At 39.8% G+C, this 26,882-nt stretch overlaps 1 protein-coding gene and 1 long non-coding RNA gene across 4 annotated transcripts in view; one reads left to right on the top strand and one right to left on the bottom strand.

Moving 5' to 3' along the window:
• LOC105370855 (uncharacterized) overlaps positions 1–21,776 on the top strand; it is a 28,962-nt gene extending 7,186 nt beyond the window's left edge. For both annotated transcript variants that reach the window (XR_007064673.1, XR_007064672.1), the window contains 2 exons: positions 11,768–11,871; positions 21,658–21,776. This is a non-coding gene — a long non-coding RNA (uncharacterized LOC105370855). The remainder of the gene's footprint in view (positions 1–11,767; positions 11,872–21,657) is intronic.
• Positions 1–26,882, bottom strand: part of TLN2 (talin 2) — a 454,082-nt gene that overhangs the window by 163,792 nt on the left and 263,408 nt on the right. For both annotated transcript variants that reach the window (NM_015059.3, NM_001394547.1), the window contains 4 exons: positions 24,754–24,896; positions 22,942–23,069; positions 6,950–7,013; positions 5,519–5,623 (listed from right to left, as the gene is read on the bottom strand). In NM_015059.3, coding sequence (NP_055874.2) covers positions 5,519–5,623; positions 6,950–7,013; positions 22,942–23,069; positions 24,754–24,896 — 440 coding nt within the window. The remainder of the gene's footprint in view (positions 1–5,518; positions 5,624–6,949; positions 7,014–22,941; positions 23,070–24,753; positions 24,897–26,882) is intronic.

Raw genomic sequence — 26,882 nt, 5'->3', positions numbered from 1 at the left:
AAAACCAAAAACCATATGCTCTCACCTATAAATGGGAGTTAAGCTATGAGGATACAAACGCAAACAGGGGTATAATGAACTTTAGAGACTCAGAAGGGAAAGGGTGGGAGTGGGGCTACAGATAAAAAACTATACAGTAAGTATAATGTACACTGCTTGGGTGACAGGAGCACTAAAATCTTATAATTCACTGCTATATAATTCACCCATGTAACAAAAAAAACGCTTATACCCCAAAAGCTATTGAAAAAAAAAAAAGTATCCCTTAGGTATACAATTTTTTTTTTGATGCTGTTCTGCATGTGATCTCTTTTTATCATATACTCTAAATGGTTTTGCTAATTTTTACATACATACTCTAAGGGCTTATTTCACATGGTTGACATATGTCTTATCAATTTCCTTGCTCAATTTAATCAATTTAACAATAAACCTGAAAATTAAAATGATTGTGTACATATTGTTAAAACATGTACAGGATCCATAAGCTGAAAATTACAAAATGTTGAAAGCAATCAAGGAGGCTCTCTATATCATGTTTATGGGTTAAAAGACTTAACAGAATAAAAATGTCAATTATCTCCAAATTGATCTATAAATTTCATGCAATTACTATCAAAATCACAGCAAGCCTTTTGGTAGACATAGATAAGTTTGTTTGAAAGTATATATGAAAAGGAAAAAACCTAAAATGGCTAAAATGATTTTGAAAAAGAAGAAAAACGTTAAGGGAATTTATCTGATGTTAGGGCTTACTTTATAGCTAAAGTTGATCACGACAGTGTGATTAGCAGAGGGACACATATTTGAACAAGAACAAAATAAAGAACCCAGAAATAGACCCATATAGATGTGCTGAACTAGATTTTGAAAATGATGCAAAAGTAACTCGATGGAGGAAGAATAGCACTTTCAACAAATGGTGCTGGAGTAACTTGATTATGGTGGGGGTTACATAAATCTATAAATATGATAAAATTGCATGGAACTAAACACACACAAGTACATGTAATGCTGGTGAACTCTGAATAAGGTCTGTGGATTGTATCAATGTCATTCTACAGGCTGTGTTACTGTACCATTGTTAGCATTGGAGGAAACCTGATGAAGAGCACATACGACCTTTCTGTATTACTGTTATTTTTAAAACCACAGTCAGTTCTAGAATATTTTTAACACATCAAAAAGAACCCTGAACCCTTTAGCCATCATTCCCCTATCTCCCACACCAAACTCTTAAGCAACCACTAACCTTCTTTCTGTCTCTATAGACTTGCCTCTTCTGGGCACTTCACATAAAGGGAATCATATAGTATGTGGTCTTTTGTGACTGGCTTCTTTCACTTAGCGTAACATTTACAAAGTTTATCCGTGTTGTAGCATATATCGGTACTTCATTCCTTTTTATGGCTGAATGATATTGCATTGTAAGGATACACCACAAATTGTCTACCCATTCATCAGGTGATGCGTTGTGTTGTTTCTTACTTTTGGCTAACACTGCTGTGAACACATATGTGTGAGTTTTTATGTGGATATACACTTTCAATTTTCTTTGGTATATATTCATAGAAGTGGGATTGCTGGATCATACGGTATTTCTATGTTTAATCAACTGAGGAAATGACAGACTGTTTTCCAAAGTGACAGTACCATTTTACATTCCCACCAGCAGGTTATGGGGGTTCCAATTTTTCCATATCCTCACCAACACTTGTTATTATCAGACTTTTTGATTCCGAGTTAGTTTTACAGCTTCTTGTGAATCTGTAATAATTTCCAAGTAAAAAGTAAAAAAAAAAAAAAAAAGACTTGGTATATCTTGTTATAGGATAAATAATCATAGCTACAAGTCATAGTAATTTTGTTCCTTCATTTGCTAAAGCAATGATTTTCCCCTCATTTTACTGTATTTCCCAGAACTTCCAAAATAATGTTAGAGGGTAATGAGATGGTGGGCACATTTATTCTGATTTCAATTCTTACAGATTTATTTATTTATTTATTTTGAGGCAGAGTCTTGCTCTATCGCCCAGGTGGGAGTGCAGTAGTGCAATTTTGGCTAACTGCAACCTCTGCCTCCCAGGTTCAAACGATTCTCCTGCCTCAGCCACCCAAGTAGCTGAGATTACAGATGTGCACCACCACATCTAGCTAACTTTCGTATTTTTAGTAAAGATGGGGTTTCACTATGTTGGCCAGGCTGGTCTCGAACTCCTGACCTCAAGTGATCTGCCTGCCCTGGCCTCCCAAAGTGCTGGGATTACAGGCGTGAGCCACCATGCCCAGCCTGTTATAGATTTCTCTCTAGCATTTCTATTAAGTATGATACTAATGAGAGGTTTGATACTCATGAACCTCTATCATGGTGAGCAAGCACACTTATATTCCAGCATTTTAAAGAATTTTTAATAAAAGGATGTTGAGTTTTATCAAACACCTTAGTGGCTTTATATAAAATAGTTATATGATATCATCTTATTTAAAGTCTTGATGTGATTCAGGTTCATTAATTCTTAATATTGACTCATTCCTGAATTTTTTAGCTATACCACTTTTAAAATAAGGCAAACTATGGTCACATAAATTATATTAAAAACAATTATAAAATAAAATGTCATACTAATGGGCCCACTGAGCAAAACACTGGAGTGAGCAATGTGCTATTAACATTGTAGAAAGCAACAAAAATAAAATTAATAACAATTTGAATATTTAATATGTATATAGAAGTTGCAAGTGCTTGGCCAGGGGTGGTGGCTCACGCCTGTAATCCCAGCACTTTGGGAGGCCAAGGCAGGAGGATGACCTGAGGTAGGGAGTTCGAGACCAGCCTGACCAACATGGAGAAACCCCATCTTTATCAAAAATACAGAATTAGCTGGGCATGGTGGTGCATGCCTGTAACCCTAGCTACTCGGGAAGCTAAGGCAGGAGAATCGCTTGAACACAGGAGGCGGAGGTTGTGGTGAGCCGAGATCGTGCCATTGCTCTCTAGCCTGGGTGAATCTCCGTCTCAAAAAAAAAAAAAAAGTTGCAAGTGCTGCCTACTTTCTTAATCCTTTCTTCTCTTCAAAGAGATGTAATTTTTAAAAAAAAATAAAGAGAAAGAAGGGAAAGAAAGAGAGGAAAGGGAGAGAGAAGGAAGGAGGAAGGAAGAAAGGAAAAAAAAGTCTACCATGTTCTTGTTTTGCCTTAAATAATTGTGTAAAAGGAGATTTGGTTTGATCAAACCTGCAAGACCCTGCTATAATGAGAAGATCTTTGCTCTCTCTCAAATTATCCTGGTGACCATGGACCGATTTTTCTTAGGTTCCAAATTGTCACTGAAGAACAAATTTATTTTTTCTACAATTTGGTGTTCAACTTCTCTTCCTAATTACAGATTTCTGTATGTTCTTTATCATCCTAAATTTACTGACCTACATGCAAGAGGCACAACAGTTTTTTAGCACGTCACTGAAACTGACTGTGTGAAGCCTGATGGTATTAATGGAAGATGATCTGAATGCAAGAGATGAATTTAATACTCAAAGGACTACAGGGAAACTCAAGAAAATAAATGGAAATTGATGCCATTATCAGTGGACATGATGAAAATTTGTTTAATCTTTGTCCCTGCAAGGCATTGGAGCTCATCTACTACTGGTTGCCCTTCACAATAATGAATGAAAAGCACGCCTTCTAAAATGAGCAGATCTCCCCATGTGTTCAGGGCACAGATGGGAAGCTAGAACGGTGGAAGCAGGTGACTACCTCTCAAATGGGGTCACTCCGGCTAAGGCAGTACAGCTAGAGGTTGGGAACACCATCTGTGAATCAGGGAAACGTGAATTCAAGTCCTGGCTTCTTCAGTTACTAGCCTTATGGCCCCCACTGAATCAATGGATCTAGCTGGGGCTCTGTGTTCTCACTTATACAAGAAGATAGGGTGCGGTGGCTCACGCCTGTAATACTAGCACTTTGGGAGGCCAAGGTGGGCGGACTGCCTGAGCTCAGGAGTTCAAGACTAGCCTGGGCAACACGGTGAAACCCTGTCTCTACTAAAATACAAAAAATCAGCCGGGTGTGGCAGCATGCGCCTGTAGTCCCAGCTACTTGGGAGGGTGAGGCAGGAGAATGGCTTGAACCCAGGAGGCAGAGGTTTCAATGAGCCACGATCGCGCCACTGCACTCCGGCCTGGGCGACAGAGTGAGACTCCGTCTCCAAAAAACAAAAGAAGATAGTAGTAGTAGTTTTACCCTTGGGTTGTTGATAGCTTTGAATGAGATAAGCTTGATGGATGGCTGTTTACTAAACATTATTGCTGTTATTATTAATATTGGTAAGTGGAGTCACTGTTACCTAGATGGCACCAGTGCCATTTAAATACTCACTGATCTTTTAAAACTGCCACTAAATGTAAAAGATTCGACCTCTCAATTATTTTTCTTAAAAACAAGGTGACTGATGTATACGTTCTTCATTGCAAAGGCCCCAGCGATTTTGGATGTAAAACTGAGAGCTAGTTTGGTTAATGTATTAATAACTAATCAGCATGCAGTATATGGCTTTCTGATGCATAACATCTTGGTATCTCCTCTCTCCAAATGAGGCAGCTTGCTCCGATGAGGAGTGGGGTCAAGAAAAACATCTTAGAGGACAACGTAACTTCTTCTTTTGCAGTTCTCTTTGGCTGTGGGGAAAGACACCTTCTTAGTCTGGTCAGTTTTGTCCTTCCTACTTCAGTCCCTGGATGCAGCCGCAACACGGCTGGTTTGCTTCCATTTGCAGAAAGCAACACAAGAAGACTGACTATAAGTTAGAGCTTTCTCCACGGCCCCAGGCGAGAGGCCAAAGGGGTCAAAGCAAAACAAGCAGAAATCTGTGAAACCTAATAGTTAAACAACTAAACAGCGTATCACTTTCCTGAGGTTAGGAAAAGCAAAGGGGTAACAAAGATAACCAGAGGATTTGTCAGTCAAGTGAAGATGACACCCATCAAGGGCCAACCTGGACTTGCTCACAGGTACAATTTCAAAAACACGCCTCTTTTCCTCTAGTAGGAAAACAGACAATTCCCATGAAAACAGATCTGAAGGCCGTAAAATCCCAAGCCCTGTCTTAAAGTATACAAATTAAGCATCGCATTTATCACATGAATTCGATTTGGTCTGCAGTGGTGAAGAGCCTTCATTTAGTCCACAGGACTCTTGACAGTCATAAATGAAACATTGTCAGGAGAAGGAATAACAAGTAAAAGTGAACTCACTCCTTCAGGGACTTTATAGCTTTGACAGTGATCTGAGCCAAAGCCCAGCTGCCCAGGGGCTCCTGGACAGCAGCGCTCACTCACCAGCCTGCAGGTCATACCCCTCATGCCTGTGCGGCAGCTAAACGCAGGTCAGCACTAGCCAGATGTTCCACCCGCAAATGCTAGGGGGGTGAGCAGGACAAACCAGGCTTAACAGCAAACGCTTGAACAAAAGAAAAAAGAAGGGGCCAAGGTGAACACTCTCCCCATTCTGCCCAACTCACCTTCACCAGGAAGAAGGACACGCCATATGTGCGGAGGGACCGTGCGAGTTTGACGTACTTGACCTTGGCTTCTATCTCACTCATCTCTCCGCAGTTCTTATGCTCCTGCAAAAGTGACAGTGGTCGGGACCAGTTATTGCATCTCTGCCAGCAGGTGGACTTGGAGAGAGGTAGTTACTGTATGTGGTGGAGATAAATGGCTAGGAATGATCATTAAGTGATGGTTGTGTCTGAGACCCCTCCATGACACAGGCAACTGCTGACCAAGGATCAGAGCATGCAGGAAGTTCTAACACAGGGATTTCAAACCAGAGTTTGAGCCCAAACAGCCTACATTACTTCACAACTAAATGTGACAATCCATGCACACATGCAGTGTGGTGGGAACAGGGTCCATAACTGTAATCACATTGTCAAAGGACTCCACGTCCCAAATGGTTGAGAGCCAAGACTTTAAATGATACCAAGAAAAAGTTCTTATCAGGAGAGGTGTCATTCTAACATCCATCCTCAATGTATTGGCTGGGTGTGGTGGCTTATGCCTATAATGCCAACAGTTTGGGAGGCCAAGGTGGCTAGATCATTTGAGATTAGGAGTTTGAGACCAGCCTGGCCAACATGGTGAAACCCCCTCTCTACTGAAAAAACAAAAATTAGCCATGTGTGGTGGCACATGCCTGTCATCCCAGCTACTTGGTAGGCTGAGGCACAAGAATCACTTGAACAGGGCGGGGGGAGGTACGGAGGTTGCAGTGAGCTGAGATCGCCCCATTGCACTCCGTCTTGGCTCTGTCTCAAAAAAAAAAAAAATATCGTTTTCCATAGAATAGGGTAAATACACGCCTGTGCACGATAGTACTCAGAAACAATACTGGAGAAAAGAATGTTTTATACGCATGAAATTTGTATTTTAATTTATATTTACATTTCAGGATCAAAGTAGACTTTGGTATCTTGGATTCCTTAGAGTGTTTCATGGCAAAGTTTGTGTTAAGGCTTTTCTTACTGGTTGCGTAGACTGGACAAGTCTCTGACTTTTAGGATAATTCTGGATTTTTAAAAGGCACTAATTTCCAAATTCCACTTTCAAAAAACAAATCTCAGGACAAAGAGGCTACTTGTAGATCCTTCCTCAATGCATGTTAACAGTCTATCACCTTGTTTCAATGTTACCAAGATAATGCCTTTGAAATTAAATGTATGCACATTTTTCTCAGAAGGGCTAGGTAACCTTTAGCAAGAAAATATGGATTAAGATAATAAATCTGCCCAAAGTAGGACTGTCAGCTTCTATACTCTTGAGTCACTAATCATTTATTATATCAGAGTACAGGCACGAGGTATAAAACTACCATGCGCAGAGGCCCCCTCACACTAATAAATGAGGATGGGGAGTGAGGAGAATAATAAAGTTCTGTACATTTCCAATACCTGAAAGATCCTCTTTTCAGCTCCTCTCTGCTTGATATATTCTTTGGGCAGGAATTCCTTCAGACTAAGAGAGAGACATTTAAAAAGGAAAGGCATTTATCATGTTCCATGATGAGAAGCAAAGCAAAGACATTTAATAAAACTCATAGTTAACTCACTAAGTCTCCCAATATTTTATAGAGTAATTAATAACAGACTGCTATATCCTACGATGCACTTGAATAAGGGCACGGACATAAAACTAGTATGATAGAAAAGGTCAAACTAACATATTTAAAGAAAAAAGAAATTCCAGGATCTATTGTAAAGTGAAAAAAAAAAAAAAGAGCACAAGAGTATATAGTATGCTATCTTTTGTAAGAAACAAAGGAAATATTTATTTTAAAAACACTATTTTCTATTGTCTACGTATTTTTAAAAAATAATACAAAGATAAACCTAGTACTAATAAAAATGGTTCTCCATGGAAGAGGCGAAAAACAAGGAGAAGGGAACAAGTATGGAAACTAAACTTGCCTATTTCTTTTATTGTAGTTTTCACTTTAGAACCACATGAAATTGCAAAAAAAAAAAAAAAAAAGCAACATCTAAAAATCTAAAGCAAACTAAAACCGTCTATCAAGCTGACAGCATAACTACAGGAAGAATAATTATGTCAAGTAACTGCAAAACAGTCTTTTGACTGTGTATCCCTTGTAAGATATTATGGGCAAAATAAGCCATAGTAGACTTGTTAGTAAAAATATTAGTATTTAAAATTAACATCCACTTTCCCTCCTGTCTATACACAGACACACACACACACACACACACACACAATTAAATTAGGATATTACATTATATATAAGTAGGATGTTACATATAATTAGGATAAAGTAAATGAGTAATTATGGTTGCTGTTAGGAACCAAGCTTTTCAGCATAAAATAGATAAAAATAAACAAAATGCAAAAAGACTTGGCTAAACATTCTGCATCTTTTATTTGAACTAGAAATACTGGCCTGAGTACCTGATTCATTTTTCTTTTCCTGAAAAACAATTTCTAGCTATGTCCAGTTTAAAGGCCAGGAACAAGCACAACCTGGTGGCAACCCCCCGACACCACCCCCCAACCCCGGTGCCTAGGCCAGGTGGTGTTCTAAATACCATTTCCACTAAAAGGAACCAGTGAGTCTCAGATAAATCACTGACTCTTGGTCTGAGGCAGGAAATGTATAAAATGTTCCTGGGACTTCTTGTGGCTTGAACCAAGGAAGCTACCAAGATAATACTGGAGCCAGTATCAGTGAATTCCCATTAGCCAAAAATTGGATGATTTAAAACTTTATATTGAAAAAGAGAGAACAAAATAATAAACCCATCCATCCAGCCTCGAGAGTTATCAACTCATGGCCAATCATGACTCATCTATTTCCCCATCCCACTGACCTCCCCTGGATTATTCCGAAGCAAATCCCAGACATCATATAATTAATACCATGTGATGGGGCAATTTGAGCATCAGAAAAAGGATGACCACAGTAAGTTAAAGCACAGATATTTCATACCTACAAAGATTTTTTTAAAAAATCATTGGTCACCTTAAGAGACTGCTAAGGTCCCAACTCATACTGAAAACTGTAAATGAGGAGAAAGAAACAAGTATTTATTCTGATGTTTCTAAATGTTGATGAGGGCAAGAATCACAGCTAATAAATGTAGAAAAAATAAAAGAAGTCCAAAATCATCATTATACAACTCTTACTGAAATAAATGATAGATCAAAGCACATTTCAACGGCTATAAGACAAAAAAATAACAACTTGATCGGGAACTTTTTAATAGATTGATGGATTTGATAACATCTAAACCCAATGATCAATTTTAATATTAATCAAAGCAGAATAACCAGATAATATATGCCTCCCAACTGATACAAAATGAAGTATACAGCACCACCTAGGAAGTATTCTTGGCAATAAAGAATAAGTAAATACATAATTGAAACTGAATTTAATTGAGCCCCTAGATCTAAATAACAGTTTACAAAAAGAAGAATAGGGGAGCATGTTCAATGATACCATCAGGATACAATTAGCCAAACCCAAACACAAGAAATTCTATAAAAATAACTTAGTTTCTTCAAAAATAAATAGTTTGGTAGTAGTGGTGAAAAGGAGGACATAATAATAAATTAAAAGAGATACAAGAAATATATTTACTACAAAGCCATAGTAACAAAGACAGTGCAGTAATGATGTAAGAACAGATACACAGGTCAATAGAATAGAATTGAGAGTCCAGAAATTAACCCTCACCTTTACAGTCAACTGATTTTCAACAAGGGTTCCAAGACAATTCAGTGGGGAAAGAATACTTTTTTAAATAACTGGTGCTAGGACAACAGGATGTTCACATGCAAAAGACAGAAATTGGACCCCCTACTTCACACCATACACTAGAATTAACTCAAAATCTATGACAGACCTAAATGTAATAGCTAAATCTATAAAACTCTCAGAAGAAAATACAGGAGTAAATCTTTACAAACTTGATTTAGGCAAAGAGTTTTTAGATACAATACCAAAAGCACATGTAGTAAAAGAAAAAAAATAAAATGGACTATTTCAAAATTATAAACTTTTAAATTGCAGATACCACCATCAAGAAAGCGAAAATACAATCCATAGAATGGGGGAAAATATTGGCAAATTATGTATGAGGAAATTACAATATATACAGAATATATAAAAAACCTTTAACTGATAATGAAAAGACAAACACCCAATTAAAAATGGGCAGAGGACATGAACAGTCATTTCTCCAAAGAAGAGATACAAATGGCCAATAGGCACATGAAAGCATGTTCAACATTATTAGCCACCAGGGAAATGCAAAGAAAAACCACAATGTGATACCAATACATACCCGCGAGGATGGCTACAATAAAAAAGATGGACAACAGCAAGTGTTGACAAAGGCATAGAGAAACTGGAACCCTCATACACTGCTGGCGGGAATGTACAATGGTACAGCTGCTGTAAAAAAGTTTGGTAGTTCCTTAAAATATTATACAGCAATTCTGCTCCTTGACATATGCCCAGAAAAAAATGAGAACACTCCCACACAAAAACTTGTACACAAACGTTCACAGCAGCATTATTAATGATAGCCAAAAGATGATAATAACTCAAAAGTCCATCAACTAATGGATAAAATGTGGTTTCTCCATACAATGGAACATCATTTGGATCTAAAGGAAGTACTGAAATATGTTACAACATGGAAACACTGTGCTAAGGGAAAGAAGGCAGTCACAAAGGAACAGTTGTATGATTTCACTAATAAGAAAAAAAGAGAGATTCCAAGTTCATCAGAAGGAGGGATCTAAGAAATATCTAATCTGCAGCAGTTTAGATATTAAAATTATCATTAAGCAACTCCATGGGCAAAAATGAATGATTCAGAGAGAATTGGACGGCACCAACATCACAAAAGAGGAAGCTGAGTTTCAGAGAGGTAAAGACTTAGCTGAAGGCACAGGACTTGTGAGTAAGTAGCAGAGAGCCTCTGACCTCCCAGAACAAAAGTGGGTCCACCTGAACACACAGCTGCTTCAGGCTTTCTCCAGGGGCCCATTTAAAATAAGGAAGTGGCATCATGAGAGAACCGTTGCTGCCAGCCTCTAGGCATTGGCTCCTCCATCAGCAACAGAGACGTGGTTAAGGTTAACAAAAGCACCCAAAAAGGGCTCCATGTCAAGCCCTCTCAGAGCAATGGCTGTCACTAGAAGAATACCAGATGGTGGTGTCCAGGGGACCAGCAGGGGTAGAATATGCTGACCACCACTGGCAAGAAAGTCCTGTACTGCAGCAAGCGCCCTTCTTTCAAACTCCGCCAAACCAGCCCATCCGAATCTGCCTCCTATGCAGTCTTCAGGAGTTACTAAAACCAACATCAGAAGGTGCACTAGAGGTGTTACCCCTGAGGTCTCAAGAATCGGTTTGTGGGGAGTTTAAAAACCATTTTAAGATATGAATAGTGTGTGCATGTGTGTGGCATGTATTTTCCCCAGTAAATCAGCCGTGTGTGGGTGCCATGTCAGCACGGAGCAGGCAGGGTGTCATCAAGGCCTGCCAGCCAGCAGCGCAGTAGTTCCAGCTCAGTTGTTGTTTTGATTACCAAACCTGAGTCTGGAAGGTTCCTAACATCTGGGACATGTATACAAGTGCAATCTGTCAGCCTTGTCAGAGAAAAAATGGGTCAGACTATCAAAGTTGATTGGAAATTTTCCTAATTAAGCAAGTTCTGGTCAAGCAAAATCCCTCCCACTGTCTCCTTAAATTGTTCTCACCTTAAAAGGGCAGCCATCTACAAACTGTGCATTGAGAACTCACTTCTCCGCCAAACCCTACTGCCAGCCTTTTAAGCATGGCCCTTTCTGAATGCAGTCATAATAGCAGATCCTCTATTCCAGTAAAGTTAGTACACTAATCTCTAATAGACTCAGTAAGATCCATGAGAGGTTGAAAGTTCGCAGCCAACAGACTCCTCTCTCACAAACCCTGACTTCTGCTCTGGTCAAGTCCACTGTATTTGTTCTCCAATTTGTTGCAGCTGGCTGGAGAGCACATGATTATATGATACACTGACATAGCCCATGAGCTGCTGAAATAGTATAAAAATTGAGCTACTGCATTCTTCCTAAGGGTAATAGTTGTAAAATGTATCAAATGACATATAGATAGCTGTCAAATACTGAAAAGGAAAAAAATCATGGAAATCTAAAGATATTCTGTCCTCAGATTGCTTCATGGTTGTCTTTAAATTCCTTCACAGATGATGCATTATGCATGGTTCATGCAAGACACTGCAGAAATCCAATCAGGAGATGCACACAAGAAAAAACCTTGGCCCTACATCAAAACAGTAGCAACAAATGTGTAAGTTCAAAGTTAGAATAATGGGTTTCAAGTGGTACATGTCACCTGTTATGATTCTACATTTTAAATGACTTTTTGGATTATCCAACTAATAGTCCAAACCAGGTTGAGAGAGAGTTTCTACAATTAAAACAGCTGCCATTTTCTGAAGGCCAAACCCTGTTTCAGGTGCTTTACAAGCACCAGCAGATTAACTGAGTACTGACAAAAGCCGTGGGAAGCCGGCATCTTGTAACAAGCCCTTTAGATAATTCTACACACTGACTCTGAGGCTCAGCGATGCTAAGTTGCCCAGGGTCACAGCACACACGCCGTCTCATCCGTGGGCACTGGGGACCATGCTCTGGGCCACTACGCACCCTGACCCCTCCAAGTTACCCTGTAGGCAAACAACATCCCACGTGATCAGTATTTCAGACCCTGTGGAATAAAATAATAATCAGAATATGACAATGAAGACCAGGTGGTGGCCACTGAGTTTTATAGAAATGCCCAGAAGCCAGTGGAATCAGGGAAGGGGAATTTAACACATTTAGGGGAGCAGGATCTGAATTCAAACACAGATGTCACCAAAACTTCATTTTCTACTATTTGAAGGATGAGTTGCAATTTTGTTATTTTATTGTATATATTCAAAGAATACAACGTGATGTTTTCATATAATATATAGTGAAGGAATTTCTACAGTCAAGCAAATTAATGTAACCATCATCTCAGTTTCTATGTGTGTGGTAAAATTTACTCTTTGTAAATTTCCTTTGTAAAATTACCTAAAATTTACTCTTTGCAAATTTCTAGTATACAATAGTATCAACTATAGCCCTCACACTGTACATAAGGAACATTAGGCCTCTAGACTTATTTATGCTATGTAACTGAGCCTGTGTACCCTTTGACCACTATCTCCCCATTTCCCCACCCTCAGTAACCACTTTCCTACCGTTTCTATGTATTTGAGTTCTTTGTTATGTTTTAAGGTTCCACATAAGTGAGATCACACAGTATTTTCATTTCTCTGTGTGGCTTATTTCACTCAGAGGACATAATAATGTCCTCTAGGTCCATCCATGTTGTCACAAATGGCAGTATCTTCACTGTTAAGGCTAAATATTATTTCACTGTGTGTACATAATCGAACCTCATTTTCTTATGTAAAATTTAAGCTGCCTCTACAAGTAATTCCAAAAGAGAAGTTCCAAAGATGTTTCCTAGTCTGACCGTAAGTTACAAGCACACAGGGAAGCAGCAATGATTTGGAGAAATGTGAACTGCCTCTTATCTGTCCCAGGGCTGCCATCAAGTCACTGCATGACCACAGGGAAGTCACCGTTTCTCTAAGTTGGTTTTTATCACTTGAAAAGGAGAGGCTTACAACCTATGAGTGTTATCGCTCATACGAATTGAAAACAAGGGATGTCGCCTCATTTGTGAGAGCGGAGGGGATCCACATGAACATACAAACAAAGCAGCAGAGTATCCACTCAGCACAGGGTAGAGGAACAGAGGGGAGGGATGGTGGAGGTACAATAGGGACAGCATCACCCAAAGGATGCTGGAACACCCAGGATCCTGACTCCAACTGTGTTGTTGAATCACCAAATGATTAACAACAACATGTCAAATCTGGTATCACATAAGCTTCTCAGAGTGTGGCCCCAGGACCAGCAGCATCCACCTGGGAATGTGACAGAAATGCCAGTGTTCGCCAGGCACGGTGGCTCACGCCTGTAATCCCAGCACTTTGGGAGGCCAAGGCGGGCGGATCACTAGGTCAGGAGATCGAGACCATCCTGGCTAACATGGTGAAACCCCGTCTCTACTAAAAAATACAAAAAATTAGCCGGGCGTGGTGGTGGGCGCCTGTAGTCCCAGCTACTCGGGAGGCTGAGGCAGGAGAACGGCCTGAATCCGGGAGGCGGAGCTTGCAGTGAGCCGAGATCATGCCACTGCACTCCAGCCTGGGCGACAGAGCGAGACTCCATCTCAAAAAAGAAAAAGAAAAAGAAATGCCAGTGTTCAGGCTTCATCCCACACCTGCTGGATAAGAGGCTCTGGGGGTGAGGCCCGGCATCTTGTAACAAGCCCTTTAGATAATTCTGATCAGATGAAGTTGGAGAACCACTGACACAGTGGGCTGAAAGCTCAAATTACAGATTCAAACACACTTGGATTTGAATCCAGACTCAAAGGTCAAAATGTCTGCAACTGAGTGTAGCAGTTAAGTTCTGAAGTTCTGGTTAAGTGAGGTGATAACACAGGTGGAGGGAAGCACTGAGTGAGCTGGGAAACGCCTAGAGTGGCAAGAAAAAGTGGAAACAGAAAACAGCTTGTTAGTCAGTTTGTGTTGCTGCAAAAGAATACCACAGACTGGGTAATGACCGGTCTTTTAATTATATTCAATTATACTTAATTCTATAATTTATAATTCAATTATAAAGAACAGAAAATTTATTTCTGCACAGTTCTGGAGGCTGGGAAGTCCAAGGTCAAGGCACTGGCAGGTTCAGCTGTCTGGTATGGGTGGCATGCTCTGGAGAGGAGAGAAAGGCTGTGTCCTCACAAGGCAAAGGAGCAGAAGACCAAGCAAGGTGAATGCTGCGTGAAGCCTCTTTTCTAAGGGCCTTAATCCCAGTCATGAGGGAAAAGCCCTCATGACCTAATCATGTCTTGAGGCCCCACCTCTTAGCGCTATCACACTGACAACACCCAAATTTTGGAGAGAACACATTCAAACCACAGCAGCATGGGAGAAACTAAGAACTGGATTTGAAGACCTATCTTGGTCACACAGCAGTTCTGTCATCCTGAACCAATCCAAATGTCCTTTAATATAAGGACACGCCACTGCCCAGGAACTCAGAGACAGCTCAGGGCTGGATACCCTCAGCGGTTCCTGGTTTGAAAGTAGTTAGGGAGACAGGCATCAACCTCAGAAGACAGCTAGGATGAAACAATACAGACACTATTGAATGGTCACTACCTCCCAATACTGAGAGGATAGGAGAGCTCCGGGCTGTCAGAAACACAAGACAAAAGTTCACTGGGAGGAAGTACGCAAGTGGCTTTTTATTGCACTTTACTTTTAATTTAGTGGGAGGATGGTGGTGAAGAAGAGAATCAAGGGCCAAATTATTCTGACAAAAGCACACACAGATGACCAACTCCAAAGGAGGAATATGTGTTTGAACAGAGGCCAAGTGAAAAACTGGCTTAAGACCTCCTACTGGGTCAAAAGCTTTGCTTGTTGACAGTAGAATTATCTTGAGTTTGTGGGGGAAAATTTCCAAGTCCACTGTGAATTCTTTCTCAACAAAGATTCATACCCTGGGTTGCTTTGTTTTCTCAGTAAAATACTTCCGAGGAATTCCCAAACAGGAAGCGGGGCTGTGAGAGTCAAGGATGAGGGAGGTTTCCTAAGCCTGTGACCTGCCTGCCCACACTCAGCCCTTGGACAATTTCTTCACGTAACACGCAGACTCATGGAACCTTTCTGTCTGGCCTCCAGTGCCTATTACTTTTGCCTTTGCCATGTGTTAAATATCCAACTTTGGTGAATATAAGTTTTATCACTTCAAGCCCAGACTACTGCAACCACCTTTTTTTAAAAAAATGTTAAGTGAGCTGGGTGTGCTGTCTCAAGTCTGTAATCCCAGCACTTTGGGAGGCTGAAGAGGGTGGATCGCTTGAACCCAGGAGTTCGAGACCAGCTTGGGCATCAAACTAGGACCCCATACAAAAGTTAGCTGGGCATGATGGTGCATGCCTGAAGTCCCAGCTACTTGAGAGGCTGAGGTGAGGGGACTGCTTGCACCAGAGAGGTGGAGGCTAAGATGGCGCCACTGCACTCCAGCCTGGGTGACAGAGTGACACCTTGTCTCAACAACAACAACAACAACAAAAATAGTTGAGTGTGAAACATTTCAAATTATAGAAAAGTATATGCCTTATAAAGTATATACCTACCACCAAGGAGAAATACATATTGACATGTTGTCATATCTGCTTTATGACTGCTACTTCTCTTCTGTTATTAAAGTAGAGATTACAGAATTAGTGGAAATCCCATATCCTTTCTTTATTAGGTAGCCACTTTTTTTTTTTTTTTTTTTTTGAGACAGTTTCCCTCTTGTTGCCCAGGCTGGAGTACAATGATGCATATCTCAGCTCACTGCAACCTCCGCCTCCCAGGTTCAAGTGATTCTCGTGCCTCAGCCTCCCGAGTAGCTGGGATTACAGGCATGCACCATCACGCCCAGCTAATTTTGTATCTGTAGTAGAGACAGGGTTTCTCCATGTTTGTCAGGCTGGTTTCGAACTCCCAACCTCAGGTGATCCACCCACTTCGGCCTCCCAAAGTGCTGGGATTACAGGCGTGGGCCAACGCGCCCAGCTGCCACTTTTTTGAAGTTAGTTTCCACAGATATTTTAATATCTTCCTGTATCTCCTTGTGTCTATAAAGAATAATACATCCGGTTTCTCTTTGTGTATATATTTTTAAATATAAAGATTCATATTCTGAAATACCTTGTTTCCTCTATAAAGAACCTTGGTTGTCTTCACACATTTAAATGTATGCCCATCTGAGAGACATGAAATGCTCTGTCCCTTTTGATTTTGTATTTTCTGAATCACTTATTAGGTTAAACATCTTTTCATGTCTTTATAAGTCAACTACATTTCCTTCTCTTTGAAGTATATACTGCTATCCTGGGTGATCTTTTTCTTAGATTTTTTTTTTCTTTTTTAATATCTTCTGGATATTAATCTGATCTTGGAGTATGCATTGCAAATATGCAAATTTCTTTTTCCAGTTTGGAGCTTTATTCTTGATGAGGTCTTTTCCTAATAAGATACTCTAATTTTAATAAAGGTAAATTTATCAATCTTTTGAATTACTATATCACCTTATGATACTAATGTAGTGTTTTAATTACTTTACCTTTCTAAAAAATTGTGGTAGTTGTATGAGTCCTTCATATATCTTCAATTAGTCTTTACCATTCTTGAGCCTTGACTAGTTCATATTAATTTTTAACAGCTTTATTGAGATGTCCATTTTAAGAATAAGTTTTCTCATTATTATGTAAGTGACTGGAATTGAACTGAATCTGTAAGTTTGGGTAGAAGTACTTTACCTGATACAAGTCTTCCTACCCATTAACATAGCAATAACATAGCATTTACTCAGACTTCCTTTTATGCTCCTCAATAAACTTTTATCATTTTATTGGTGAGATCTTGGAGATCATTGGACAGCTGTCTTCCTAGGTAAATTATACTTTTTGTAACTACTATAAAAGGTAACTCCCTTTTTTCAATTATATTTCCTCTTTTTTGATTTGTATGGGAATACTATTTGCTATTATATGTTGATTTTTTTTTTTCTAAAGACCACACTTAAAAGTCTTGTTAATTCTAGTAAGGTTCTCTATAGACTGACTGATTATCTATGTAGATAATCCTATCACCTGCAACTAATGACAGTTTGTTCAATCCTGATATGGTTTAGCTCTTTTTCTTTCCTTATTGCACTCATTAGGATATTTAGTATCATGTTGATAAGAAGCACTGAGAGCAAGCATCCTTCTGGACATTAAAGGGAATTAATATTAAACTATTAATTATCATACTTGTTTAGACTAAGAAGGTTTTCATGAATTTCTGGCATGCCATGAAGTTTTTCTTTTTGTCATCAAGATTATTTTATTTTATGAAATTCTTTCTCTCCAGTAATTAAGACAATCATATAGTCTTTTTAAAAAAAATCGCACATGGTAAACTATATAAACAAATTTTCTACTGTGAAAACGTGTCTCTTGGTAATCCATTCTAAAATGTCAAATTCTCTCTCAAGGCCCGGCGCTGTGGCTCAAGCCTGTAATCCCAGCACTTTGGGAGGCCGAGGCAGGAGGATCAGGAGATCGAGACCATCCTGGCTAACACAGTGAAACCTCGTCCCTACTAAAAATACAAAAAATTAGCCGGGCGTGGTGGCAGGCACCTGTAGTCCCAGTTACTCGGGAGACTGAGGCAGGAGAATGGAGTGAACCCGGGAGGCAGAGCTTGCAGTGAGCCGAGATCACGCCACTGCACTCCAGCCTGGGCGACAGAGCAAGACTCTGTCTCCAAAAAAAAAAAAAAAAAACTCTCTCAATCCCTAAAATACACCAACTCCCTATTCCCCCTTTCTGCCTTTTTATCTTGGCATTCATCATCATGAATATATTATGTATTTTACTTACTTAATAGTTATCATCTTTCTTTCCGCACTAGAATTTAAGTTCCATGAGGGCAGAAATGTTTGACTGTGTCTTTCACTGCTGTATCTCCAGTGTCTAGTGTCTACCCCGTAGAAGGCACTCAACAAATTATTTGTTAAATAAATGAATTTTGCCTCCTTTAAAGAAACACTATTTAGTTATAATTTGCACTTACACACGCACATATGTCATGTTGGACTTAGTTAATATTTGATCAACTTTTGTGAGGAAGACATCTATATTCAATTTAAAAGCTTTCTATTGTCTGTATTCATTTTGGTATTACAGTTCTGCTAGTTTCAAATTAAGGAGAGGAGCTTTACTTTTTTATTTTCTGAAATAACCTGGGCCTAGTGTTTGTTGTTTTTTGACTGGTATATTTTAAACTGATAAGTCAATTTCTTTCAAGATTGTAAATTTATTTCAATTTTCTAATTATCCATTTTTTCTAAATTTTCCTAGTTTATCACATTCTCAACTGCTTTTTAACATCCCTTAACCTTATTTTGCCTTTTTCTGCTTTTGTTTTTCTTGATCAAATTTACCCAAGGTTTATTAAGTTTTTTAAAGAGCCAGCTTTTGGGTTTATTGATTCTCTGTGGTTTCTATTTCATTACTTTCTTTTAAATATCTTATTTCTTCTATTTTGATCTTGTTCTACTAATCATTCACTGAGGGAAGTATGTTAAATTACTTTACTAAAACTGCATATCTGAAATTTTTGCAATACAGTCTATTTTTCCTTTATATACATTTAAGGCAGTGTTAGGCACATATACAGGTTCACAATTATTTAGTATCCTGATAAATTAGTCCTTCTGTCTTTATAATCTTCTTTATCTCTACTTACGCTTTGTTTGCCTTACAGTCTATTTTGTGTAACACCAAATGTAGCTGCTCCAGCAGCTACATTTTTGATTTAAGTAGAAATTTCCTGGTTTATCAGTTTCAATGCATTTAAACTTTTCTCTGTCATTCTCTCTGCTCTTTGTCTAAAATTGTGTCTTTTAGAGATAGTATAGACCTGGACTTACAAAAAACTTCCATTCAATGAGAATCTCTGTTTATTAATTGCTGCATTTCATTTACTTACATTCAGTATGATGCCTAATATATTTAAAAGTGTTTACCATATCTTATTCCATACGTTCTTTTCACTTTGTTTCCATAAGCCGCCCTGCACTTCTCCTATTTTAATGGTCAACATACCTGCATTTCTTCCCTCCTACCCCTACTGGCTTGAAAGCTATACAGGTTATTTCTTGTTTGTTTTGACCAGTATTAAAACTTTATTAAAGAACTTGTGAAGTCTGGTTTCTTTCATTATTTCCATATGCAGTCTATCTATATTCTCTTAGGCTATGTTCAATTTTTTTCCCAACAATTTTCTTATGAAAAATTCCAAACACGGCACAATGTTGAAAAAATAGTGTACTAACATTCTATATCTGTCACCTAGAGTCACCTTCAATTTTATCATGTATACTTGATTTAAGAGCTGAAGTCTACCAGTAACTCTCATCTTCTCCAATAAAATATAGAAGGCTTTTACTCTGACCACTTCTTAAAGTTATCCACAGTGTTTTTAAAGGTCTAGAAATTAGTCATTATTATGTTTTGTTGTGGCTGTTTTAAGAGTTAATTCTTCTTTACATTGACCTTCTACTTTGTCAATTTCTTTAATCAACATTGCGTCTTGCATGATACTCTTCCCACCTTTTTAGAAACAATCCATAGTAGTCTCCATAGTCTACTTCCTGAATAGACCATCCTGCACTTAAAATACAGTTTAAAAGTTGGACTTTGTTGAGATGATCAGAGCCAAGTTTTGGTTCTGCATAATAACCATTTCATATACTTATCTGCCACATAGACTGTAGATTCAAAAACAGCAAGGAATTAGTATATAATATCTCCCTTGTATCTTCCCTGTACCTGACACAATAAAACACATCTGCAAGTTCTCAATGAGTTAAAGAAAAACACCAGGCTCACATATAGGTAACAAAATTTCACATGAACCCCACACATTTGTACAAAATTCCACATCACATGGCATATTTTCTGCAAGCATTTTCTCAACACAGAAAAGCATAAAGCAAATACCTGATTACTAGATTATGTGTTGTTTTTACTTCATGCACCAATAAAATGTCCCTTCTTAGGACCCTTTGAAGGTGACCTGAGGAAAACTGTCATGTAGATAAAGCACATCAGACTCAATTAAGGAGAACTGGCTTTTTCCTGGCTCCCCACACTTGACTGTTCTGGGCCTTGTCTCTGTCTCTCTCTAGCACTTATTCTCCCCATCAATAAAGTAGATGGATATATTAAATCATCCTTAAATCCCTGAAAACTCTGAAAATCTTTCAAGCTCTGATGATTTTCATTATTCTAAATGAGTACCTTCACTAAAGTAACAAATCCAGAAATCACTGGAGAGTCTGAAGAAAGTTCGAAGCGAATCTCATAAAAATGTCCATATTGCAACTTCGAGCAAAAATGCTGAGCAAATTTTCAAAAAATTAAAAGATATGCCCTTGTTCACATTCCTATGTACCTGCCTCAGAAACTACGTAACTGAAATTTCTGGGGGTTGCATCTTCAGCATGACTGTCACAAGTCCAACCTTCTCATTATTATTTTAAAACCCTAAATTGTTTAAGCAGATCACACATATGAAAGCTAGATTGGGAAAGATATAAAGGCTGCAAAAGAGAGCCCAGCCAGTCACCAGGGACAGCCCAGGTAAAAACAGGACCTGACTATCCAACTCGCAAATCAGCAAAATGTGGCCTCGCTGTTTTGTTTTAATTAAGAAGGGACTTATATCCTCAAGAAGTTTTACCTGCATGGTATAAGCAATAATGTACCCAATTAAATATCTACATTAAGTAAAAATGCCTCATTACCTAATTTGGCCTAATTAAAAAGTAAATCAAATTCATAAGGAAAAACAATTGCCACCAGGCAAAACCACCTTATTTTAATTTGGAATCTGAATAAGGGTACAGGTACCACTACAGGCATAAACTTGATATTATAATCTTACAAAAAAAGAAACAAACTCAATGCAATTGCTTAACTCTTGTGGTCTCAGATTATTAAGGGAAGAATACTGTTGCTGGAGTGTGAGTGTGGAGCATTCAATAGGACCACAAACTGCAGGACCTAATTTTAAGACCAATACCAATGCTTTGATGTTAGTTTGTAATCTCGACACAGGCAGTCAGCTGTACAGTAACATTCATGATGATTTGGTTGGTACGACCCATCATACTAGGAAGTAGACCAAAGCACCTTGTAATCCCAGTTTTAAGTACCTTTGCTGCATAGTGGGAGACCAGTGAAAGGGGCAACTTTGCCTTTCACTGAAAGCAGGAATGCCTTTGAAAATGAGAACCCGGTGTTAGAAGTCAGAAGCTATTTGCGGAGAACCTCTTTAAGTAAGTGTGAACAAGCCACTTCTCTCTCTGCTGCTTCTTCCATATCTATCAAATAAAATACTATGTTCTCAATTCACAGGGAGTCCTGAGAACTAGTTGCCCCTGGGCTATGGAGAAAGGGAGCTAATAAAATGACCATGGTGGCATCATCATCAATATAGGAACCCGGTGAATGACTACATTCGGATCGCCTTCCTACCAGGGAGACATAGATTCACAGCTACAAATGCCTAAAAATAGGTAAACGTTTTATTTCCATTTTTTAAAATTCATCAATCTTCCCTCCATTTTCTATTTGTCACCAGTCACTCTAGCAACAGAAACAAAATGTTGTTTCCTCCAAGGCCCCTCTAGCTCTTGGTGTTTATTCCTCAATATCCGTGGCCATAATCCTCAGGCTGATGACATCAGTTGTATCTGAGGGGCCAGCCGTGAGGCTAGAAGGTGGGAACGTGGAAACTGCTAAAGGAACTTGTGCACATGGCCTTCGATAGGTGGCGGAAGAGAAGGGGAAGCTTCCCGAGGTTCCTGAGGAAGGAAGCCAGACTGGTGGGGTAAAAGCAGGCCCTGAGGAACACCCGGCAGTATGACTCATTTGGAGAATACAGAACTAAGTAGGTGGTAGAAACTGCTCAGAGCCGTCCTCAGCCTCAGGCTCACAATGTGTGGCACACTGCAGGACACGGCGTCACCTTGTAAAGGTTCCCTGGGATTCGCTAACCCAAGGGCAGAGGTTTGCTTTTTGGGGGGTTAACAACTCAGTATAGACCAAACAGCATATTGGCCAGGCATTCTCTGCCACCAGAAGAAAAGTTAAGTTTTCTTCTTACTCAAAGGCATACTCTGGTCCCAACTACTTTCCACCAAAGTGAAACTGGGGTCAAGGGCCAAAGAAGCCTCTCCGTTATCCTCTCCCTGCAATACACTTGAAACAATACAATGAATGCACAATACCAAGAATGGCCTGCTGGACACATCTCATGCTGACTGGCACATCCTACAGGAAAGCTCATGTCCTCCCCACAACCCCCACACTGGCGTTCACACCTTGGCCCTACTGGAGCGGTTTTTTTTTTGGTTTTTTTTTTTACTTTCCTCTTCACTAAGACGAAGTAGAAGGAAAAAAAGGGGGTGGAGGGGGACACAGATCACTGAATTTCTATTCAGCAAAAGAAACTTCTGAATTTCTCTTGCTTTCCCCAAAATCTGCAAATTTGGTCATCTACTCGATGGAAGAAAAGCTAGCATTCTCACAAATGATTGAAATTAGGGTATGATCTTAGACACCTAGCTCAAAAATAAAAAGCTGAAAGAGAAAGAAGACAGGAGAAAAGAGAAAAAAGAGAAACAAAATGTCATTTACTCTAAAAATCCAGGTTTGTGTTTATGTTCCACATGAGGTCCAAATTGTATCTGGGCTTGAAATCCACCAAACTCACAAGCTTTCTCGAAGGAGACAGGGTGAGAGCCATTCAGGATGTCATCCCGTGCCTGAAACACAAGAGGAAGGAAAAGCATCAGAGGCTTCGGGGAGTGACACGTTCTCTCCACTGACGCATTCCCATGGCCCAGTACACCCTCTGTGGAGCAGGGGACAGTGCCAGCCAACCCACGGTGACATGTGCAGGACACAGTGGATGATCACCGCATGGGAGAAAACTAAGGCAAAAGAAAAACAAACTTTTGTCCAAAATGGCCTGTAGATGGAAAACATTAGAGGTGTCCAGTACAGCAAAAGCAAAGTCTGATGACAGTCCAGAAAGGCAGAAGTGATTATAAAAAGAGGCAAAGGAAACTCATATGAAATGATCAGCTTCAAAGAGGCCAAAAGACAAATACAGTGTACTTTTTACAATCCTAAATCACAAAGCTAGCTAATCAAATATCTAGAGGTAAAATCAACCCAACCCCCATCCCCAGATAAAAACCAATGTAATAGAGGAAGAGAAAGAAAGGCGATAGGCACACACACACACAGACAAGAACTCAATACTCAAGACAGCAGGGGAAATGACAAGCGAATGCATCCTAAAATGGGGAGCTTGTTGTGTCTGAACTCCTCCTCCTCCCAGTTTCTCCATCCATCACTGCTGTTGCTTCCCCCCCCCACCTTTTCAGCCTTTCCTTTCTCTAAATGACCCCCAGATCACCCTAAGATGGACACTCCAAGCTATCACTCTAAGCCTTAAGCCAACAAGCATCTTTTCACTGCCCTGCTATCTCTCTCCTTTTGGCCTCCCCACTTCTTTCCTCTCAGCCCTCTTTCCATGCCATCCTTCCGTCCACTAACTCAGGGGTCAGGAAACTTCTCTAAAGGCCAAATAGTAAACATTTCAAACCTCCTGGGCCACACAGTCTCTGTCACTGAGTTCTGTCACCAGAATGCGAGAACAGCCACAGAAGATATGTGTAACAATTACATAACCCTCAAGGGGATTTATCAATATGTAATACTTGAATACATAAGCTGTGTTCCAATACAACTTTATTGACAAGTACAGGCAAAAGGCATGACTGTAGTTTGCCAACCCCTACATTATTTCTATGGGCAGATAGATGGATAAATAACGAGAGGAAAGGGAGGGAGGGAAGGAAAGGAAGAAAGGAAGCTGGTAGGAGAGGACAAAGATGGATGATGTTTTCCTTGAGCCACAAGAAACCTTGGGGACAATCTAGTGCAATCCACATCTTACATACTGGGAAACCGCAACTCAGATATGTTAAATGACTTGTCAGTTTTAACAATTAGTTAAGGGTAAAGACATGAAAGGTTATTGAGAGGATATCTTCCAGTTAATGAGAGTCCTGATTTCTGACCAACATTCTCTTGCATTCTAAGATGCCAGCTAAGAAACCTTTAGTGCACTTGAAATGGTGAGCCAGTTAAGTGAAATACAACTGTCCCTCAAAGCCCGGCAGAGAGGGACACAGTGTTGGCTACCAGGACACAATCTGGGAAGCCATAGGGAGGCCCTACTCCGGATGGTCAGCTGCTCATCCAGAATATCAACCTGCACCACAACCAAACACATGCGGGGACCCACGAGCAGCGCCTGCTGGAAACGACGCCATAAATGTGGCAGAAGCCAGCGCCGCCCTCCTGCTCGCCACAAGATACAGCCAGGAGCTTCCTGCAATCTCACCAACCTCAGTGTCTGAGCAGTAAATACTGTACCTGAACATAAAGCAAGTTCAGCTGCACGGGGTCTCTCGAATCTACATTCTGATCAGAGTAAAAGAACTTCCGTCTAAGCAGCAACGTTTCGTTTTCATCTACTCCTTGTTCTCTGAATGTTCGGCTGTGATCCAGCCAATTTACTGCAACACAACAAGACATATAAGAGAACTGTGTTTATTTTTCCTGTTAATTAAAGGGAATTTACCAAAAGAGCAGTGTGATGCAGATTTCTGTATCTCTGATACTTAGTTATAGTAGTTATAGTTATTTCTTATTTTAGAACTATGGTTTTTAAGCTTTGCAAAATAATTTCACATCTACCAAAGGACCAGCCAAAATGGAAATGAGGGAGAAAATTCCCATGCCTGAAACACAAGAGGAAGGAAAAGCATCAGAGGCTTCGGGGAGTGACACGTTCTCTCCACTGACGCATTCCCATGGCCCAGTACACCCTCTGTGGAGCAGGGGACAGTGCCAGCCAACCCACGGTGACATGTGCTACAATGAATGTATAATATGCTGCCTCTCCGGTGGCAGGGTGGAGGGCAGATACTCCAGTCTCACCTAATAAAGTGATCTTGAGGCTATGAGCATAGTAAGTTACCTCTGATCTCAAGTAGAAAAGAGGAAGAAAATGAAAGTATGGAGGGAGTAGCGGAGACAACACTAAAGGGGGGCTGGCAGAACCGTGCCATGGGCCAGCTTAAATCTCAGCCATTCTGAGAACCCTGTCCTCACATCTATGTGCACAGGATTCGACCACTCCCCTCTACACTTTCACAGCTCTCACTCCAACACTCCTCTCTGGGCTTCAAACACATTGTGGGTTAAGTCCTTATCACCAGCGTCTCTAGATTATAAGCAACCTGAGTACACAAAACGTGTCTCCCACATCTCCCACAGTACCTGGGAGAGTATTTTGCACATAATAATAAATCCTTGGGATTTTTCTACTAAAGTCTCTTGAAAAGAAGTATATAACTGCAAATCAAATTAGGGAGTAAGAAAAAAAAAACACAGAAAGGGTGAGAGGAAATGAGAGCCTCACAGAAGATCAATAAACACAATGGCAATAATGATGTCATCCCGATACAGCCACAAGAACAAATACAATGAAAGGAGGAAAGAGGCCAGGAAGTCTAGGTGGACTGGGTAATAAATTAAGACCCTTTCAGTGGAGGGTCAGGCAGCAAGGTGCAAACAGCATGGGCTTTAGGGACACATGGGGTTACGTGCTGGCTTTTCCATATATTAACTGTGTGGCTGTAGAAAATGACTTTCCAGTAACAGAATTCTGTTACTTTTTTTTTTTTTTTTTTTTTTTTTTTTGAGGCAGAGTCACGCTCTGTCACCCAGGCTGGAGTGCAGTGGCACAATCTCAGTTCACTGCAACCTCCACCTCCCGGGTTCAAGCGATTCTCCTGCCTCAGTCTCCCGCATAGTTGGGATTACAGGCATGCGCCACCACACCCAGCTAATTTTTGTATTTTTAAGCAGAGATAGGGTTTCACCGTGTTGGTCAGGCTGGTCTCAAACTCCTGACCTCAAGTGATCCACCCGCCTCAGCCTCCCAAAGTGCTAGAATTACAGGCACGAGCCACCACGTGCAACCAACTATTACTATTTTTAACTCCTAAGGAAATAATGGGTCTAAGGCAATGGTCATTGATGGATGTTAAACATCCCCCCAAAAAAGAAAACCAGAAACACTTCCTGATGGAAGTGCACATCACCACTGAAGAAAGCATCTTTATTATAATAAACACAAACATTTAAATCTATTCAAGCCTCCAGATCTAAAGAATTAAAAGGGACAGAGGAACATGTTAAATGACACCATAGGTATGCAATGAAGAAAATCCAGACTGTATGAAATGCTGTACAGCTAACAATCTGGTTTCTTCACATACACAAAAACTGCAAAAAGACATGCACTATCACACTGAGTGGTGACCACAATTAATAATAACGTATTATATATTTCAAAAATGCTAATAATAGATTTTTAACAATCTTACCAGAAAAAAAGATACATTGGTGAGGTGATGGATATGTTAATTAGCTTGACTGAATCCTTCTTCAGTGTCTACACAGATATATCACAATGCATCCCATAAATATACATC

The sequence above is a fragment of the Homo sapiens genome, chromosome 15 (assembly GCF_000001405.40).
Source record: "Homo sapiens chromosome 15, GRCh38.p14 Primary Assembly".
In the NCBI taxonomy this organism is placed as follows: Eukaryota; Metazoa; Chordata; class Mammalia; order Primates; family Hominidae; genus Homo; species Homo sapiens.
The sequence above is the reverse complement of the archived record's forward strand: the minus strand, read 5'-3'. Positions and strand labels throughout refer to the sequence as shown.